The sequence below is a fragment of the Homo sapiens genome, chromosome 3, assembly GCF_000001405.40.
Source record: "Homo sapiens chromosome 3, GRCh38.p14 Primary Assembly".
NCBI classification, from domain to species: Eukaryota; Metazoa; Chordata; class Mammalia; order Primates; family Hominidae; genus Homo; species Homo sapiens.
In genome coordinates, this window is record NC_000003.12 from 26,652,034 (window position 1) to 26,673,119 (window position 21,086).

General features: G+C 37.7%; 1 protein-coding gene across 6 annotated transcripts in view; it reads left to right on the forward strand.

Moving 5' to 3' along the window:
- LRRC3B (leucine rich repeat containing 3B) overlaps window positions 1-21,086 on the forward strand; it is an 88,005-nt gene that overhangs the window by 29,262 nt on the left and 37,657 nt on the right. The gene's annotated exons all lie outside the window — the stretch shown is intronic.

The window sequence follows — 21,086 nt, forward strand, 5'->3', positions numbered from 1 at the left end:
TCTTAACTGTTACACTGTCTTGATGCTTTGCTGCCCCTACTATAATTTTATTGGGCAATGGTGGGAGTGCAGGTACAAAGTGGCTGAATCCACAGCACTTCCCATGAAATGGAAGAAAAGTCAGAGGGTTTTTCAACCAGCTAAGGTAATGTTTCGCTTTCTGAAAACCCTACAGAACACTGTATATATGTGGAATAACACCTGCATGATCAACTGGGGCTGCTCTGTCCCTGAGACTGGGAGGGAAGGACAGCTGGGGCCTGCGAAGCAGAGCCCAACCCTTTATGGGATCCTCTCCCGTTCTCACAGTCTCTGCTGACTTGGCACCTGTTCCTGCCAGCATATGCTGCCGGGAAGTGTTAGATGTCACTGCACAGCTGTGAAGTGGGGCGGAAGAAAGAAGCCAAAGGAATCTCATAGAAGAGCTGGGTAACTAAATGCAAGTCTGCAGAGGGGTAGTAGAACAGAGTCAGCTCAAATCCTGCAAGAATAAAGGAGAGTCCAGTGGGGGGAAAATGTGTAGGAATCCTTTAGTCTGCAGAGTCAACGGTACATAAAGACAGTGAGACAGTTTCCTACGTCCATGTACTAAGTATGTCTCTGCAAAGGCACACACTATTTTCTATCTCATTCCTTGGATTACTCACTTCCAAAACCCCTTTATTTTTCTTTTTTTTAAAAAAAAATCACAGATGTTTTAGAGATTTCAAGTCAACTTTTTAAAAAGTACATAATTTTTTATTTAAAAGTATAAAATTCTAACAGTTATAACAGCACTAATGAAAGTAAACAAAGCATCTCCCCAAATTTTATTATGCTAAAAAATATTTTTGTTTCATTCTGCATTCTTCCCTTTCTAGTTCTTGTCTATATCCATACCTATTTTTATTATGGCATAATCTCATATCTCTTACATGCTGAAATCTATTTCTGGAGATAACTGTCATTTCCACCAGTTCCAGGCATTGCTGGGTCAACAAGCAGGGGATGGAGATGACAGTGCCCCCTAGTAGATTCATACTTAAGGAGAAGGCCTCAAAACCTTAGGCTGAGCTTGTGGGATCAAAAAAAAAAAAAAAGAAAAATGAGTCAGATATCAGGTAAGGTGCTAAAGATGAGGAAACAAAAATGACTAAAAGACTGGATGAAAAAATTCAAAAGACTTAAGTGGGGAAAGAGGAAAATGAGGGAAAAAATATTAGTAGGAATTAATGAAAGGAAAATGACTTGCATCTCCTTGACATTCAGTTCAGCTGGTTTGTGTTAGTCAGAGCCTGTACCTGAACAGTTCCTCCAAGAAATCTAGAATTTCTGTCATTTTTTTTACAGACAGGAACAAAGACTTCAAAAAGCTGATTTGAAATATTCTCAAAGATGAGCTTGGATATACATGTGAGTTCAGATGATGTTGCAGAAATTGATCTGTCATTAATAATGGTTTAGGAGAAGCTGACATGTCATTTCTCACTGACTTAAGCCTCTGGGAAGCTGAGAGAGATGAAGTATAAAACAAAACATGTAAACTGTCAAAAAGAAGAACTCACAGAAAAAAAAAAATAAGCTGACAATGTCCTTTAAAAAACAGTAAGATAACCTGAAGTCTAGCTGAGATTTTTGAGAACTCTTGATCATGCTGGATGTTTTAGGCCTAAGTCATTTCTCTGAGTACGGCTCAGGACCAGGTGTCAGATTTTCACCATGAATTATAATGTCCCCCATGTAAACTCACTGTGAACCGTTTGTTTCTGAGAGCAGACTGTACCCATATGTGTGTCCTGAAGTAGTTAGCATGACCACACAAAGATACCTTATTGAAAACAATAGTTCACCTAATAAGTGACATTTAGTTTATAAAGAAGTGAATTAGACTATATGGATATTGGAGAAAAAGTTTATAATGCCCATACCTGGTGGCACCAGATGGCTATTTTTTTTTCCATGTCTAATTAACAGCCTAAAATAGCCTGTGTGATACATTTCCTAGATGGGGAAACAGTCCAAAGCCTAGCTGAATTGCTGTGATGTTTTCCTGTTCCTGGTGATCTGTTTCTAATAACCTGCAAAATAATGGAATAGAATCATGATTTAAAATCTGTCAGAGAGTTGGGTGTCCTGGAACAAGACCAGGATGGACCTAAAAAATGCTGAAGTGGCTGTTTAAGTATTTCTTGAATGCTGTTCAAGTATTTCTTGCTATTCCATCTATACTAAGACAAGCAGACATAAGAAGCCGGCTGTCCAACAGTGGGGCTTAGAGAAGATTGTGAGCATGTGTAGCAATGCTTCTCAAGTTTTGCTGCATGCTAGAATCTCTTAGAGAGCTCTGGAAAACATCCTAGGTCCAGATTGCACTATATATAAATTAAACCAGAATTTCTAAGGCTGGAACTAAGGCACCAGTAGCTTTAAAATTTTCCCAGGTGGTTCTGATACACAGCCATAAAACAAGGCCTGGTATGATAAATGCAAATGAGGATTACCTGTATGCTCTGGGAGTACTTCAGAGAAAAGAGAAATCAGAAAGACTTCTTTGATGGGGAGTAAGGAGGATGTTCTAGGCAGAGAGAACAGCATAAGCAAAAACAGAGATGAGAAAGTGTGTAGTGGGACAGTGCAAAGTTCTTTTTGACTATAGCCTGGAGGCATAAAGGAGCAGCAGGGGAGAATATCAGAACATCAGAATATTCTGTAGAAGTGCTTGGATACCAGGCTGATGCAATCTTATATGCCATTTCATAGGCAAAAATAATCACTGGAGAAAGAATATTTTGTTTGTTTGTTAATGAACATAGCACCAGTGAGTAAAAAGTGCCTGGAAAAAAGCAGAAATTATAAGCCTGTGTCATATTAGTGGGCTGTTGTTGCTTTAAAATGGCATTTCCTAACTTGAGTCATTGCCTTATCATCTTCATAATTTTTGAATATAATTGTCTAATATATTTTTAAATTACTTAGTTTTACTTAAATATATTTATAAAGGATATCTACGTCTTCATTTATTTATCAATCTACTTATTTAGCTATCATCTGTCTATCTGTCTGTCTGTCCATGAACATTTATATTGCTCTCTCAATGGAAAACTAGTGCCACTTTTCATAAGTTGAAGTTTAACCTTAAAAATCAATACCATAAAAATAAAAATTGTTTCTTCTTAGATACTCTACTGCAGTGAATTAAACAGTGAAGAATTTCTTTATCTAGTAAAGAAATTAGTAGATATTACAAGAAAGAAATAAGCCTATAGTCATAGAGCAAACATTATGACCCTATCATTAAAGCCAATGATGAACTAAAAAGGAAATCTATTTCTCTCTTACGCTCTGAAGCTCTGTTAAAGCCTGTGAGAGGCACCATAATGTCTATATCTTGAGTTACTTGCAGTTTGTTTATGTAGACTATTAGTAAAAGCCAAACTCGAGCCTTCCTACAATGGACATGACTAAGGCATTTTACTGATAAGCAGATCTTACTTGATAGGTTGGCCTAGGATTATTAGTAAAGCCTGGTAGTGCTGAAGACAAATATTCTTTTTTCCTTTTCACTAATTCATCTGTCCTGTTTTCATTAACAATACTTAGCTTTATCTTTTTAGTTATCTTTCATAGATGTGCCCTTTTTATAATACCAAGTGAAGCAGAGCTCATATCTCCAATTCATCATTATTAACCACCCTATTACCTTCAGCTGCAATTCTAACTGTGTCATGGTGACAGAAATGCTCAGTAGTACATTATATTAATAATGTCTACTGGTTACTAAGTGTCTGTCATATGCCAGGTACTGGGCCAAGGTCTGTGCCAAGCATATCACACACATTGTGATATGGTTTAAAATTCTTCATGACCTTATTGCTATTTATTATCACCTTTTTACAGACAAGGAAACCACGACTCAGAGACTAAAGGACTAGTCAAAATGGTCATACTAATAAATGATAGTGCCGGACTTCAGACTAAGGTTCATTTGACTGCAAAGCCTGACCTCATCTACTTCTCTATTCTGCCTCCAACTGACTATGCCTGGTTGTTCAGCTTATTTTAGCTCAATGATTTATGAAAGCCCTGAAGAATCACTGCAAGGATGGATTTGATAGTCTCTGTAAGGCAGAACAAGAGGTATATTGGTGCTGCTGCTGCTGCCACTGCCACTGCCACTGCCACTGCTGCTGTCCCAAATGAGCTGACACGCAGGATGGTTGCATATTGCAGCGAAGATCGTCTAATCACTATAACAAACTGATCCAAATACGTAATGACTCACCACAACAAAAGTTTATTTCTTGATTACATGATTGTGCGGGCAGTTTGAGGGTGGTGGTAAAGTGGGAGGGGAAGGTAGGTTTGCTCCCTGTAGTCATTCAGGGAGCTAAGTTGACTCTAGCTCTATTATTGTGTATACATGGCTTCCAAGTTTGCCACTGTTATCTCTGTTACTGTTAGCCACAAGGCAACAAAGAGGAGCACGCATAGGATGATTTTATGGACCAAGCTTCAGAAAAGACATGAATTTTTTGCATTTCCATTCCACTGGCCAGAATTCTGTTACATGGCTACACCTAATTGCAAGAGAGGCAGTGGAATGTTGTCAAGCCAGGTATCCAAGAAGAAATGAATTTTAGAGAGACCCGTATTAGGGAAGGAGAGGAAAGCATTTAAGACTAGAAATCCACAGATTGGGATCTGAATCCTGACAACCATTGCTAGAGTCACTTGACAAGTTGCTCATCTGAAAATCAGAATCAATGGCTCCTGTTGCTTTCTACTCCACAGGGTAATAGGGTAATTTAAAATCAAAATTAGAGTGAAATAAGATGTGTGGGTATGCTTTGTAAAGCAAGTTAAGACTTAGCATGGGACAATAGACAAAGACCTAGATTTTGGAATAGAATCCAAGTTCAGATTCTTTTTTCTGCCACTTTATAGCTATGCAAGCACAACTTGGCTCTCTGAGATGCAAAAACTTTTTCTATTATTTAGGAGGAAAAACACTTGCCTCACCTTTTTTATAGGATCCAGAGTATACAACTCAGTAGCATATGATACAGTTTTTAAAAATGATTAAATATCAGAGGTATATAAAATATTTGTTTTTAATATAATCACAGCTTTCTGCTTAAGAGCCTATTGCTTAGAGAATGCTTTCCAAACCACAAACTCCCAGCTTTTCCCTGAATGAAATAAAAATAGTAAATTTTATCAAAGAACTGAAATAGATGCTCACTCTCAACACGCACCTTTAATGCCTATAAACTCTATGAGAGAACAGTCTGAATCACCTCCATGTTTGAAATTCTTAGCATTCCAGGTATACAGTGCATACCTGATTGATTGAATTATACTTATTGAATTATATTCAATTTCAAAATTTACTTTGGGTCAATGACAGAAGTGTCCAGTAGGCTGACACAAGAGTAGTGACTAAGTCTCCTGGGATGGAACATGGAACTCTTACAACTCCCATGTCTCTCCTTGAGGGTAAAATTTATCCTTAGTGATCACATTCTAACTTTCTTATTTGCTAAGTCACTTCTCTGAGTTGATGGTATTAGTCATTTAAAAAGTCCATGCCTGCTTTCATGCTTTGAGTCGATCCAGAATTAGAGTGATTGATTATTTTCCTTTTCCTCTTTTTTTTTTCTTGTTGAAGTCTCTTGAAACTTCTTAATTCCAGCCAAGGCGCTCATTACTTTCGAGGTTGCTCTCTGAGCTGCATTTGACAGAGGGATGATTGTCTGGCTTGGCTTTTCATTCATTTCTGGGCTCACCCAACTATGAATCGACGGGCATAGCCTGTTCTTCTAAATGTGAAATGAGATGACTCACTCTTATTTTTCTGGGTTGTTGCAGGTGAGGCCGCATCTGCCTTTTCAAACTTTGATAAGTAAATACCAAGAGATATAAGAGAAAATCAGTGAGAGATTGGATACCTTTAGTGACAGAATAATTGCTGCATTATATCATAGTACTGACTATCAAATTTAGATAATCTTGACTTTACTCAAGCCACTGAACACCAAGCAGAGTGTCATCATTTAAGTCAGCTTTCTTTCTTTCTTTTTTTGAGATGGAGTCTCGCTCTGTTGCCCAGGCTGGAGTTTCAGTGGCACCATCTTGGCTACTGCAAGCTCGGCCTCCCGGGTTCACGCCATTCTCCTGCCTCAGTCTCCCGAGTAGCCACCACGCCCAGCTAATTTTTTGTATTTTTTAGTAGAGACGGGGTTTCACCATGTTAGCCAGAATGGTCTCTATCTCCTGACCTTGTGATCTGCCCGCCTCGGCCTCCCAGAGTGCTGGGATTATAGGCGTGAGCCACCACGCCCGGCCAAGTCAGCTTTTCAATGAAGCATAATTTGCAAATAAAGTACCTGCAGAGAGATAGCCCAATGCTTCCCAAATTTTCATGTGTACAGTAATTACGTGGGAACTTCTTAAAATGTGTTTTGATGCAGTAGATCTAGGATGGGGCCAGGGATTTGGCATTTCTAACAAGTTTTCCAGGGATGCTACTGGTATCACACATTGAAGAGGAGGGGAAGTTGAAGAGACAGGTCCTGTTCTTATCAAAGCCTCATTCTTTATACAAAACACTTTCAGATGATGTGCTCTCTTTGACAAAGAGTAATAACCAGGCTGCGCCTGTGAAAATTGATGAAAAAATTGCAATCAGGGGAAAGTGTGATCTGTTCTGTGTTTTTCAATCTACAGTATTTTTACAAAGTGCCACCTCTAGGTCATTGTGAGTTTGCATAATTTAGGCAGCTTCAAGTCTAAGATTGCATCTACACTGACAATAAACAAGGAAATAATAGATCATACTGCATTTGAGTGGTGACATGGACATGACTGCAACAAATTACCTGAAAAAAGGATTGTTAACTGTAAGAGGACAGCTGTATGCGGATCTGCAGACAATTAAGGATCTGGGGTGGTATCAGGTGCTAACTTCCTAATGATTTTGCACAATGCATTGGGAGTTTCAGGAAATGCTGATGTGGATATTGGGAACTTAACTTTACAAATATATTCTTATGTTAAAAATGGGAGGTGGAAGTAAATATGTATGTGTATATCGATTAATAACAGCCATATGTATGCTGCCAAACACTTTGCAAATACTAACTTATTTTATCTTCATAACAATCCTATGAAGTAGGTACTATTATTGTCTTCACTGAATAAAGAAACTGAATCACAAAAAGGTTAAGTACGTTCCCTAAATCAGCAGAGCTCAGATTTTGAATCAGGGCAGCATTCTTACCATGCTCACATATGAAACTCACACACTCAAATACTCATGTGATTTAAATTCAGATTCTTCCATTTGCATTTGTCCTTGAATAAGTCCTTTCATCTCTCCAACCCAGTTCCACCATCTGCAAGGTGGGCCTAAGATGCCCTGGCAACCTCTCAGGATTTTTGGAAAGTTTAAATAAGATAATACATATGAAAGTTTATAAGTGATATACAGATATTAAGAGAGATTTAAGAATTCAATGGAAACTCATAAATAGTGGCATTTGATTACCATGGAGATAATTTGAATAGTATTTTGTAAATATCCACTTTATATTTCTTTAGTCTCTATTTCTATATTTTTCCTACTTCTTTAGGAAGAACTGGTTTTGCCTGGGACACACACATGAAAAACAATACAAAAAAAACCCTCTCTTCTTGGATTTGCTTTGTTTAGGTTTTCTGAAAATAGAATGTTCTACAGAGGCTAAAAACCAATGGAAGATCCATCAGCTGATTTCATTCATTCCTAGGTTCTGAGAAATTATCCCCTGTAGAGTCTTCTCTGAAGTGTTAGCCCATCTGGGTTGAAATGATTCTCTAACGCCTCCTGTATTTAGCTCTTTCTTTTGGAAAGGTGTTTCATGAGGAAAGTAATTTCACCATAGAATTGTGCTCTCAGATGTAGCCCATAATTTTTCTTGTTGGCTTGCCTTATCCCAGCAAATTTCTCATTCTGCAAAAACCCTCACTTTGCTTAGAGTTTTAATCTTCCAGCTGCACACATTTTTCTCCCTCCGAGTTTTAGTAGGAGAAAATATAGGGCTCCCTTCATAATTATATTACTCCATCCCTCCTCAGTCTAAGATTTCAGAGGACCTGATAATACAGAATTGTGATTAGGAAGGATTGTAGGGGGTTTGCTTGTGTTGCTGTGTCTGGTTCCCGGATGCAGGTAGTAGAGTTGCCCCTTAATTACAGATTCTCTTTTCTCTGTCAGAAAGGCATGGTAGAAGAGCAAGTAAATTTTAAGCCAGAACTTTATTCTATTTCATTTCATTTAGCCAGATCAAAATTTGTTTCCTTTTAGGCTACACATGATGATAAGTCTTTTAGAGTAAATGTTAGGGTTAGATATAATTAAGTCTCTTAAATAAATTATCAAATGCAAACTAGAACAAAGATTAAGTGATTTTTTTCTGTGTAAACAGGTAACATTTTAAAGCTGATTTAATAAAAGGAGAACCATCAAACATCATCATTTTCCTTCAACTGTGGCTTCTAAGATAGGGTTCATTTAGGTTTTTGAAGTGGCCAGTATAAGATACTTGAGTAGTCAGTACGTGCCTGTGTCTTCCAGAGCATTGCTTGCTTTCCCTGGTATTGTTCTAGGGCAAATGTTGACAAAGGAAAATGGTCTTCTGACATATCTAGATGTATATTACTGATGTAAAAAAAATCAAGACACTATAGAATAATGGTCAAAGATGTAGACCTTGAGGTCAGAGAGCACTCAGTCCAAATTCTGCTTTTTTCATTTCTGAGCTGCATGATTGAGTTACCTATTTTGCCCAAACCTATTTCCTTATTTTTACAATGGAGATAATAAGAATACATACCATGGGACTGTGGTGGGAATTATACAATCATGCTATGTGGCATATGGTAAATATATTTTAAAATAATACAAATTATCCATGTAAGAGTTACTTTTTAGATACTCTTGACCATTATTAATGTGTGATCATAATAGCTTCAAAAAATTTTCTTAGATATTTGAACAATTTGAAAAACATCCTGAATAGATTGTGTCAAATCAGCCAATAGAAGTGCTGACCCCAGGGGTATGTACATCAGTGACTGAAATCTCCCCTAACACTTGCACACACACATATTGGCTTCTGTTTAGGGGAAGGTCTTGTTCAAAGGGAATACAAAGTGTTATGGCTCCCAATGTGCAGTCAAAAGGCAGATTCCTCTCTTAAGACTTGCACTGCCTACAGAAATGAAGTCTGTAGGTAGAGCAAGTACCCATACTTTATCCAAAGTTCACTATTGTTTTTAGTCCATCTTGTTCCTCCATGCTTAAATTGGGAGAATGCTAATAAATCAGAGGATGACAAATGCCACACAAAATCTTCTTCCTCACATCCAAACCTTCTTAATATTTTGGTGATTTTTATGTCTTTAGGTATGTAGTTGTCGTGAATTGTCATCATACTATATGGGTAATTGTATATCTTCCCTTTATACCCTATTTTAAAAAATGTTTCCAAGCATTATTACTAAGTCTTTATAAACATCATTTTAATGGCTACATAACATCACATCAAATGGATATATTATAGTTACTCTAGCCAACTTTATAGAATAAAACACTTATGTCTTCCCCATTCTTTCCTGTTATAAACAATGCTGCCATGAACATCTTTGTGATTGCTAATGCTGCAGTGTTTATAGTAGTGGCCACACTCTCTTGAATATGACAAATTTATAAAAATCATTACAGTTAGAACTTGGTTGATGCAGTTTCCATTAATTTCCTACACTGCTTTTCTGTATTTCTTTAGATTCTACCAGCTCAGGATCAACACCCAAAGTTGGTCTCTGACACTTCTGTGCCTTTTAAAGACTGGTGGTCAGGAATTGCAGAAAGGCCCAGAATAAAGAGATGTTTTCTCAGAGTTACAGGTTCTGACCTCTGTGACTCCTCAAAAACTAGTAATCCCCTGAGTGTTCTGGGGCTCCTCTGAGAAATCTTGTTGTCCTTAACATATCACCCCAGCATTTACTTCTCTGTTCCAAAAACCAGTCATACCATTAAAGAAATATGCATTTCCTATCTTTTAATGAAAGTCCTCCTTTACTCCTCTTGAGTTTGATAATTGAGTCATTTTTTCTGGCTATTAATGCTAACTTGTCCTATCTTATTTTTTCCTAGACCATTATAGTCAATTAAATTTATTTACTGTTCTTAGACTCTCTGCCATGCCCAACTTGTGCTCCACATTCTGAGATTTGGACAGTTTAATGCAAGAAAAATATTCTTGTTTGCTAGGACTGATATTCATCTGATATGCATGAGTATGAATATACAGTTGTTGAAATATTGAAATGTATTACTCCGGATTAAAATTTTCTGCCACTCTGTTCCCTTAAAGTGCCCCCATTCACCCTTTAACTTCCTCCTACTCCTGCTATACCCTGGCAGCCCCAGCCCCTCCTCTGAAATCTCTCTACCGCTAAAACTACAACATTGTCCATTCTGATTGGTTGCTGTCTAAGTCATTGATAGATAGATAGATAGACAGACAGACAGATAAACAGGCATGTATGTGGGATGTGTGTATGAGTGAGTTTTAACATTACCCTTGTTTTATTCAAGCTGGGATTTGAGTATGTAACAAAATTTCTTGAAGAGAGTGTGGCTACTTTGGTGGTAGGAATGTCTCTTGAGTCCTACCACTGCTTCTTCTTGTCACCTTGCCACCAACTCAGCCCACTTCTTTAGTGAACAGTCTTTTCTCGGGTTAGTGGTGGGATGATAAGGCCAATAGACATTATCATTATTTTTAGGAAGGCCTGAAATTGGTTTGTTTATTTTCCTGTTGCTAATTCTTTTATGTCATGAGGATTTGAAGTCAAATGGAGGATGAGGAAGGAGGGATATGAGGGTTTGCAGCTGTGTTACTCAGGAGGTGCCTTCTGGGAATCAAGAGATTGAACCTTTGGGCAGAAGGGAAACCAAGTTGCTGTGCCAGATCTGCCACTCTTTCATGTTGATTCCCAGTGCATCAGATTCTAGAGGCTAGGGCTAGACTGAGTTGGGCTTTAGGCCCTCTCATGCACGATTCTAGTAAAAACTTCTTCCAAAGCATTTCCATAGGTTTCTCCTTTTTTTGTAGCCAGCTTTTAGCTTGATTGAGTTCTGTCTCTGGCAATATTTTTGTGCCAGAGTTAGGTATTGTGTTTGCTTTTGTTCATATAGTGATTTGGGGAATTCGTTTTGCAGCTTACTCTGTTGAAAGCTCACATTAATCATGTTTTTCATTCCCCCCACCCCAATACACACATGCATCTTTATTTTACTATTTGCTCTTCTAGTAAACTTTTGCATATCTCTGTGTTTAATTCTTTTAAGAGAATTTTGTTAATTACTAAAGAAATACTGAAAAATTCTATAAACTCTCCATTTAATGTAATCATGCCTAAATTGTATTTAACTGAAAGGGCATATTTATTAATTGTACCTGGTGTTTTTGTTGATTAGGCAATTCTATATCAGTACTAGTCAGAGGTGCCTTGCATTTTTCAGCACTGATAAAGCTTTCCATTGACTGTGTTGATTTGGAATATTAATTGTATCTAGCTTTCCCAAGGTAAGGGGGCGATTCTCAGTGTGGCTGTTTTAGTCCTTACTCTGAACTGGCAACATGGAAATGGTTATGACTAAGTTAATTGTATCACTCAAGCCAGAAATCTGGATTTGTCCTTGCCTTATTCCTCCCTGTCAATCAATACTACATTTATTCAGTTACCATCTTGCCAGTTTGGGCTCCTACATATTTCCTGGGTTCCATATTCTCCTCCAGTTCAGAACCTTGCCATGTCTTGCTTGGATTTCTACTATAGCCTTTGAGTTGGTCTTCCTGCCGATAAAATTGCCCCTTTTTAATTCAATCAGAGGATTTTTCTATGAACACATTTGAACATGTACTTTCATGCTTAAAACCTACCAGCACATACCTGTCACCCACCAAATAAAGCCCACACTACTTAGAAGGACATAGAAGTCTTCCTATGCTTTGGAACTTCCCAATTTTTTCACTTTATCATCTGCCCCTCTCCAATTTGAACTAGACACCACATGAACACCAAACTATGCATGGTTCTTCTCTGTCTCTTATTCCCATGTTTTGGTCCATGAGTTTTGCTGGAATACTTCATTCACTTTTCATACCCTGACAAGTCTTCATCCACATTCAGGAGTGAGCTTGGCCCATTGCTTCTTCCAGGAGTTTTGGGTAACATTTTTTCCTACACTGTTGAGAATTTGAGTATTGCTATATACACAATATCCTTTCAGGTGTCTGTCCCCCCACCCCCACGACTACTGCTACTACCCCTAGTTTTCTAGGGGCAGAGAAAGTCCTATTTATCTGGTTATCCCCAGCCTCTAGTGCCATGTGTGGAGTCTAGGATTATTGCTAATGTGATGCCAGATCACCAGACTGTAAACAATAAAGTTGAGGTTTTCATGAAAGAAGGTATTTTTGGTTTAGTTCCCTAGAAGCAGATCCTATGCTGAAGAGTCCTATGAAATTGAATTATTAGGAAGTGGTCCTGTGAAACACTGGTTGGGTGGTGGGGAAGTAAAGAGAAGGCCAAGAAAGGCTGTGCTATCGAGAGAGACCCACAGAGAATAATTTTGGGTCAGTTCTGTGGTGGAGTTCTAGGAGACAGTTTAGGTCTCGCCTCCGATTTGTTCCCACAAGGGGTGAGGCAGCTCTCGCATCTATCAGCATTGGTTAAGGGATGCTTTCCCTCAAAATGTAAACTCCCAGTCACTTGACTCCCCACGTGTCAGTGGGTCTGAAAATTGAGCATGTATCAGAATTACTAGAAGGCTTAATAAAATGTAGTTTGATGGGCCCCTCTTCTATAGTTTCTGATCTAGTAGGTCTGGGATAGGGTACAAGAATTTACATTTTCAGCATGTTCCTAGGTGATATGGATGCTGCTGGTCTGTACCAGTTTAAGCAAAATGGGCTGCAGCAGCCTAAGGGCCATCCTACCATAAAGGTACGGTCAGGCTTTTGGGAGTGAAAGCAGCACTACAGAATCTGCTGTATTTGGAGATTATTAAGAAATCTAAGGGAATGTGGGCAGAGCATCCACAGCATCTCCTTCTGAAGACTGGGCCCTGACTAAATGCCCAGGAGGATCTGAACTACCCAGAGCAGAGTTCTGTGGCCTCATTTCTAATTCAAGGCCAGATCCCAGTTTGAAAGACTGGCTTATCTCAGGATTTAACTTCTAAATCAAACTTCACTTTGCTTGATTGAAAAATCACATTTACTAAACTACTTCTTCCTATCGTCTTTGTTTTCTTCTTGTCCTTCTTATTGTGTTCTGCTATAAATACTTTCTGGAGGCACCATTGCTTTGTCTCGTTGATGTGTTTTTCTTCCCAGCTTACTTCCGTTTGTGTTTTCTTCTATTGTAATCTACCAAAACAACTTCAAAATATTGCCATCTAATCTGAAAAGCATGGAGTTCGGTATTGACAAGTATAGAAAAGAGAGTTGAGGCAACAAGCTATAAAAACATAGTGTGAAAAGTAAATAAACTGACACTAAGTTTGGCTAAATAACCAAGAAAAGACCTGGAAAAATAAATTATCTTCTTGATTTACCAGGCATTATTTGAAAACCAGTGAGAAACCTTTTGGTAATTGTTGAAATTCCAGTCAAATCTTAGGTATACTTTTTTAAGCTAAAAGAAAGTTTTCTTCACTGTATTCATCTTGGTTCTTTGTAAGAGTTCATGGAAGTCCCAAAGGCATGTGATGTTCACCAGAGTAGCTCATGTCCTGGAAAATCTGTCTAACTGGGTTCTTTGAAATAAATATAAGAGAGCTAAAAGTTTAATGTTGTAATTACATCTGACATCATGCTCAAATGTTTGCAAAGATAATAAATCATTCAAGGATTATGAAATAGTCCTTTGACTATATCCCATCTTCATTAATTCAAATCAATTTAACAGAAACATTGAGAATGTGTTCTGTGTAAAACCAAGGGAAAGAGTGAAGGAGAGAGAACCATGGAGAAAAGAGGATTTATGTCCATAAGTTTATCGTGGGATGCCTTTGCAAGAGTACTGAGTATGATCTGGATCCTAAATTTAGTCAAATGAATTTAGAAAGACTACAGAGAAAAAAGACGTCAAAGAAGAAAGCAGAGTAACCGCAAGGAAAAGGTGAAGACAAATAGATTATTAATAGTGGAGAAGAAAAGGAAAGGAAAATACATGGCTGCCTTCAAATTTATGAAAGTTTATTATAAGACAATTATTTTTTTCAGCCATACCAAGACAGAAGAAGTACATGTGAAAGAATTTATCTGATAATAGAAAATGTTAAAGATTGGGGGGATTTTAAGGGTCTTCATGGAAGGGAGGGTAATAATATTTATTAGATCTCTACTACAAGCTCAGGGCTTTGTACCTATTATCTCAACCAATCCTGCCAACTGCTTGGCAATAGATACTGCTATTTTTAAATGAAATTAGAAATTTAGAATAGTTTTAGTTGTACAGAAAAGTTGTAAATATAGAACAGGGAGTTCCTATATAACCCCACCAAGTTTCCCCTGTTGTTCACATATTATTCTGGTACATTTGCCACAATTAAGACTCCAATATGGGTTACATCACTATCAATCAAACTCCAAACAATATTTGGATGTCACCAGTTTTCCCACTAATGTGCTTTTCTTTTCCAGGATCCACATTACATTTAGTTGTCATACCACCCTTTTCTCCTCTGGTCTGTGACAGTTTCTCAATATTTCCTTGCTTTTCATGACCTTGACAGTTGTGAAGAGTCAGGTATTTTGTAGAATAGAAATTGTTGGTTCTAATAGAAATGTGTCAACTACAACACTTTCATCAAATGTAGGGATTTTAACTAAAAAGAGCGGTATTACTAACAACTAACAACTTTTGCCAGCAACAACAGTTATAACTAAGAATTAACTATTTTTTAGTGATGTCTGGGCTCCTTGAATTCTAGTAAAATGTCCCTCTGTGATTTTTTTTTAAACCATTATTAGTAAAGTCTCACTTTCAAGAAAAAAAAAAAAAAAAGCCTCAGTTGAGACTGGTATACCCAATCCCATGGCCTTTCAGCCCCTGGGAGATTTGATGAGGATGCTAGCCTTCTAAGTGAATTTTGAAAATCACTAACACTTGATGTCCACTAACTGGACTTAGTGCATTATTAAGTTTGTTAAGGGTTCTCATTCTATATTCTGTTAAAATGTCTGGGTTGTCATGCAAAGCTCCATACCTCCTTTAAGACTAGCTTTGGCTGCAAATACAGAGAGAGACCTGAAAAAAAATTGGCCTGCATTTACAGAGACTTAAAGAAAGTAACAGTTTATTCTTTTCTCACCTAGCAACAATTTAGAGTAGGCAGTCCAGAGCTAGAAAGGGAGCTACTGAAACTATTCAGGGACTTAGGCTCCTTCCAGCTCACTGTTCTACCATCCCTAAAGTATGGCCCCCACCCAGTCTTCTGACCTGGAAGGGCTGGTGAAGCTCCTGTCATCACATCCACATTCCATGGAATTGGATAGAGCAAAAGGAGGGTGTGCCTTGTCTCTTTAAAAAAGATTTTCTGGAAATATCATATAATATTTTCTTTTTATATCTCATTGGACAAAACATGGTCACATGGGAACTTACTAAAAGAACAGACTGAGAAATATAATCTTCATTGTAGGCAGTGTTGTGCCTGGCAAAAACAGGGTGTCTCTTGTCAAAGAAGAGGATGAGCCCGGGCATTGGGAGGCAAATACCAACCCTGAACATATAAATACAGATCATTGGATTACCAATTTTTTTTTACATAAAACAAACTTTATTTTATTTTATTTTTTTATTTTATTATTATTATACTTTAAGTTTTTAATGCACCATCAGTATTGAATTTTTTACTCAACATTGTTTTGAACCTGCCATTAATTTTTGCATAAGTAATGTTTTGGACATATAATTTTCAGAGTACATGATGGGGCATTTCTGGGTTGCAGTTAGATATTATTATAAAAAAAGTATGAGTTTGCTCTCTTTGTAATCTACACGGGGAATACAGAGTAGGTTAGTTTTCTTTTTTCCCTGCATTAACGAGCCCTGTTGAAACAATCAGAGAGCCTTTGTTTCATGGGATGTGCTCTGAGAAATGACTAGACTTTTCCAAGGAGTAGCAAGCAAGAAAGCTATGAGGGGCCGTTAACAGAGCCAGAGCTGGTTACTTAAGGGAGTGATTGATCATGACATTAGAGAGCTTAGTGGTGCAGGATCAGAAAGATTTGGGGGCCATGAAATTGCCCAATGGGACAATGGGGGATCCATTGAAGGACTTCAAGGAGTGTGATAGGATAAATTTTGCAATGGAAATATGCTTGCTCTGGCCAGAAACTTAGTTTTTGTGGAATGCACATTTAGGTTTCCATAGTTTTCTACATCACTGTGAAGGAATAGGTCCCCCAGGAACAAGGAGAATCGACTATTAGGGGCATTTTCCAAGAATCTGGGTTTTTAAGTTTACAAAGGACTGCTAAAGCCTTTTTAATGTGGCAGCATTGAGACCTTTTGTTAACTTTTTTGCTTTGCTTTTTTGTTGTTTATTTTTACTACAAAAGGGATAAATAATTATTGTTAAAAGTTTGGAAAATACAGAAAAGCAAATAAAGCTCCCTAAACCATTTTAGCCAGCAATGAACAGTTACCATTTCAGTGTATGATCCTCTGGCTCCTTTTCAATGCATATAGACTGCAAATTTTGCTGAATATCATGCTGGAATGCCTTCTATAAGTCTATTTTTATATTATGAGTATTTAGTAGAGAGAAAGGGTTCAGTAGTTCCTATTTGGCAGCTGAAGAACTCTGGGGAGCTATGGATTGCTTACAAGGGTCCTCAAATCCACATACTTATCAAGCATTGTCTATAGACTGAACAAATTAATATGTCATGTACACATGTTCAACCACTAGGTAAACATGCAAAGATGCTATTCATTAAGATTAATAAATGCAAATTCATCCAAAAGTCCTACTGAATTTAGAATAGCTTGCTGTCATTAGTTATTTTTTTCAGTCAGTGAACATTAAGGAGCTCAACTATTTTGTGGATGTTCCAATGTATTCTTGTGTTTGTGAAGGTGAAAGCAAAAATTCGATGGGAAGATGAGTGTCGTGCAGAGCTATTGCTGTTTCCACTGTGCCATTTCTGAGCTCATGCCAGGTGTGTGCTTCTAGAACAATTCCTTCTCCTTCAGTTTTTTCATTCCTTTCATTACGATGGAGTGAACTGATTGCATTGTTGGATGGGCCTTCTTCCATAATTGGATTAACAAATCTCAACTAGTTTTACTAGATCCAGTAAATGAAAGATTTAATTCTTCAAGCAAAAATATTGTCTAAATTTACAAGTATTTGTGAAATAAGGAGATGAATATTACCTTTTTAACCCCATGATAACCCCAAGAATCATGTAGCTGAACTCCAATTTTCACTAATTGCTTGATTTTTATTCTTTAAGATTTACTCTGTTAGTAAAATCTGTCTTATTTGAAGAGAGCAAACCAATAAATTGGAAAATAAAAGAGGTTTCCTATTTGCCATTTAAAGAAAAAGCTATTTTATACTTCATTTATTTTCTTTCCCCAAAGTTGAATCTTACTTAATGTCATATGGTTGCCGGTGAAAGATGATTTTTTTGGATTTCCATAAGTGGCATGTGCTAACAGATACCCCTCACAGGCTGATTATTTTATTTTAGTTTATGTTGCTTTGGTTTGGTTCAGTTCAATTAGGTTCAGTTTGCTTCCTTGAGGATGGGGACTGGCTCCCAGGTGAGAGTCCTCCTTATCCACACCATTACATTCCAATGTTCATCACATTTTCTTGAGCTTGATAATATGCTACTTCCCCTTCCTCCACCTTGCTCTGCTTTTTCAACTTATTGGTATTAATATTCCTGATGTTTTCTGGACCTGACTGGGTCTATTATCAGTTTAGAGCTCCATGCTAATCACTTTTTTTCTTTTGTCTCACTCATTTTTATCCTGTGTGTGCTGTTAATTAATCTACTTCTTTCATCACAGAAGAAATGAGGGTGATTTAGGAAAGGATGTGCATTTCTTGGTAGATGCTCAGTTTCAAAGAGAAGTCATTTCCTCACTTTGCCTTGCAGAAATGAGAGAGAGATGAAGCAGTCTCCTAGAATACAGACAGACACATTAGTAGTATGTTTCCAAAAATAACTGAAGGGATTTAGTTTTGTGTCCTAATCCCTTCTTCTTACCCCATTGCATGCTAGAAGATCATAATAGATTATACAGTGAAATGTTCATTGTGTTATGATTCCGAGGGCTTCATTTCTTGTTCATTCTACCACTTATATCTTCGGGGAAATTATTTCTTCTTTCTGAGCACCGGGTTTTTTAATCTACAAAATGGAGCTAAGGATATTACTAGGTTGTTTGGGAATCCCATGAAATACCACATGCTCTATAAAAATGTCAGTAATTATTACTACATCAAGGGTTTTATTAAGCTGGAGGCAAAGAAACATTTGTTTCATTATTGTGGAAAGAAGTAGTGAGTCCACATATGAATCTCATTTTACTAGTTAACTGTGTGACCTTGAACAAGTTCCTTAACCTCTGTGTGTCTCAATTTCCCCAAGTATAATATAGAGATAATTATAGCTACTACTTCAATAGATTAGGAAAATGGAAAGCAATAATCTACATGAAAAGTTCAATCTGGTATTGGGGACATAATAAAAGCTCAATAACTATTAATGGTTTTATTATCATATACAAAGAACTATCAAGGAGAATTCTGGTGCTTTAGTTCTTTTATTTAATGTGTGTTCATAGCATGCTATGGCATTTGCATAATACTATACTCAGTATTGGGAGAGGTGGGCACAGTCTACCTTCTCATGTATCTTTTTTTTTTTTTTTTTTTTTTGAGACGGAGTCTCGCTCTGTCGCCCAGGCTGGAGTGCAGTGGCGGGATCTCGGCTCACTGCAAGCTCCGCCTCCCGGGTTCACGCCATTCTCCTGCCTCAGCCTCCCAAGTAGCTGGGACTACAGGCGCCCGCCACTACGCCCGGCTAATTTTTTGTATTTTTAGTAGAGACGGGGTTTCACCGTTTTAGCCGGGATGGTCTCGATCTCCTGACCTCGTGATCCGCCCGCCTCGGCCTCCCAAAGTGCTGGGATTACAGGCGTGAGCCACCGCGCCCGGCCTCATGTATCTTATAAATGTGTGTGTATATATGTGTGTATATATATATATATATATATATAGAGAGAGAGAGAGAGAGAGAGAGAGAGAGAGAGAGAGAGACGAAGTCTTGCTCTGTCGCCAGGCTGGAGTGCAGTGGCATGATCTCAGCTCACTGCAACCTCTGCCTCCCAGTTTCAAGCAATTCTCCTGCCTCAGCCTCCCAAGTAGCTGGGACTACAGGCGCGCGCCACCAAGCCCAGCTAATTTTTTTGTATTTTTTAGTAGAGACGGGGTTTCGTCATGTTGGCCAGGACGGTCTCCATCTCTTGATCTCATGGTCCGCCCGCCTTGGCCTCCCAAAGTGCTGGGATTACAGGTGCGAGCCACCGCACCTGGCCATAAAAATAATTTTATACATGGAGTGATCAACACTAGCTCTTTTCTGCAAATGAAGAAAATGAGGCTTAGTATGTGAAGCATACTCAGGATTTGAAGCAAATTAATTTAACCAGAACCACACTTTGGGCCTTTAGATATCTGTCCTAGAATTCTTTCTCTTACATTTGCAAACTTGAGGTTGCCATCCTTCCTTGACAGAACACTCCCAGAAATGCCAAGAATTAAAATGTTGTCGCTTTTGAACACAAGATCTATTTAGGCGGTTGAAAATGGAAACTCTAGTAAAGTAACAATGACTCATTGTTAAACTCATTTTAAATACATTTTAAAGACGTTTCAATAACGTGTTCTCTGCACCTCAACACCCCAGCTCCAGGCTTTAACCATTTAAAGAAGTTGTTGCTCAGTAACTGAGGTGTTCATTTATCATTTTGTTTTATGTTTTAATTAACAGAGTGCATTTTGAAGAAAATAGTTTTGATTTTTTCAAAAGGCAAAGCAGAAGATATTAAGAAAAAAAAGTGCCACAGCCTCTAGTTAATATAATATCCTAGAAATCACAGTCAGTACTTTTTTTACAGGAGAAGGGTAGTGATTAATAGGTTGCAATAGGCCATACACTTTTGCCAGCCTGATTTCTTATTTTTATTCCTCAGTTGGTAGCTCAGTTCTTAATGGCTTAGTAAGACTTGGTTTTGATGCAGAGATATGAAAATATCTCCTCATAATTTCATGTTAATTGTAAATAATCCAAAACAAGTGGCCCTTCACTTGAGGGCCTGAGAAGACACTGGGAAGACCACTTTCCTTTTGAAACAGAAGGTTAATTCTATCATCCTGTTCCTGAACTGGCAGTTTATACTCAGTTTCTGCTCCCAGCCTCCAACCTAGTCAGCCTAAGGGTAATAACCATTTTTATTGTTAAACGTAAAATCTCAAATTTATTATCCAGTTTCTATTAGCAAATGTAATCTCAGCCCCAACTCTATTGCTCCAATTAGAGTGGCTATGCTATGTAGCTGCTTAAGATTTTTGGATTCAGTATATTTCATCTTTTCCTTTTTTGCCCCATTTTCATGTCTTTGAAATACATTTCTAATAGAGTATATCCAAGTCTTTATGGAACATCTTAATTCAGAAACAACTCCATAGTACGCTTTGTTTAAGAGCCACTTTTTTGAGCAATAATATTTTTAACATTCCACCAGATCAGCTGTACAGAATGACTTTGAGAGAACAGCACTTCTCCTTCAAAATGTGAAATGAGGGTTCTGGTTGGCGAAGTAGGTTTATTTATTGTCCAAAAATTTTACTCCACTAGTCCAGTCTCATAGCACCTGAGAATCAAATTTCTAGCCTCTGTATGTCAGTGTTGCCACATGAAATAAATCTTAGAAGTTACTCTTAAATAAAACAAAGGTCTGCT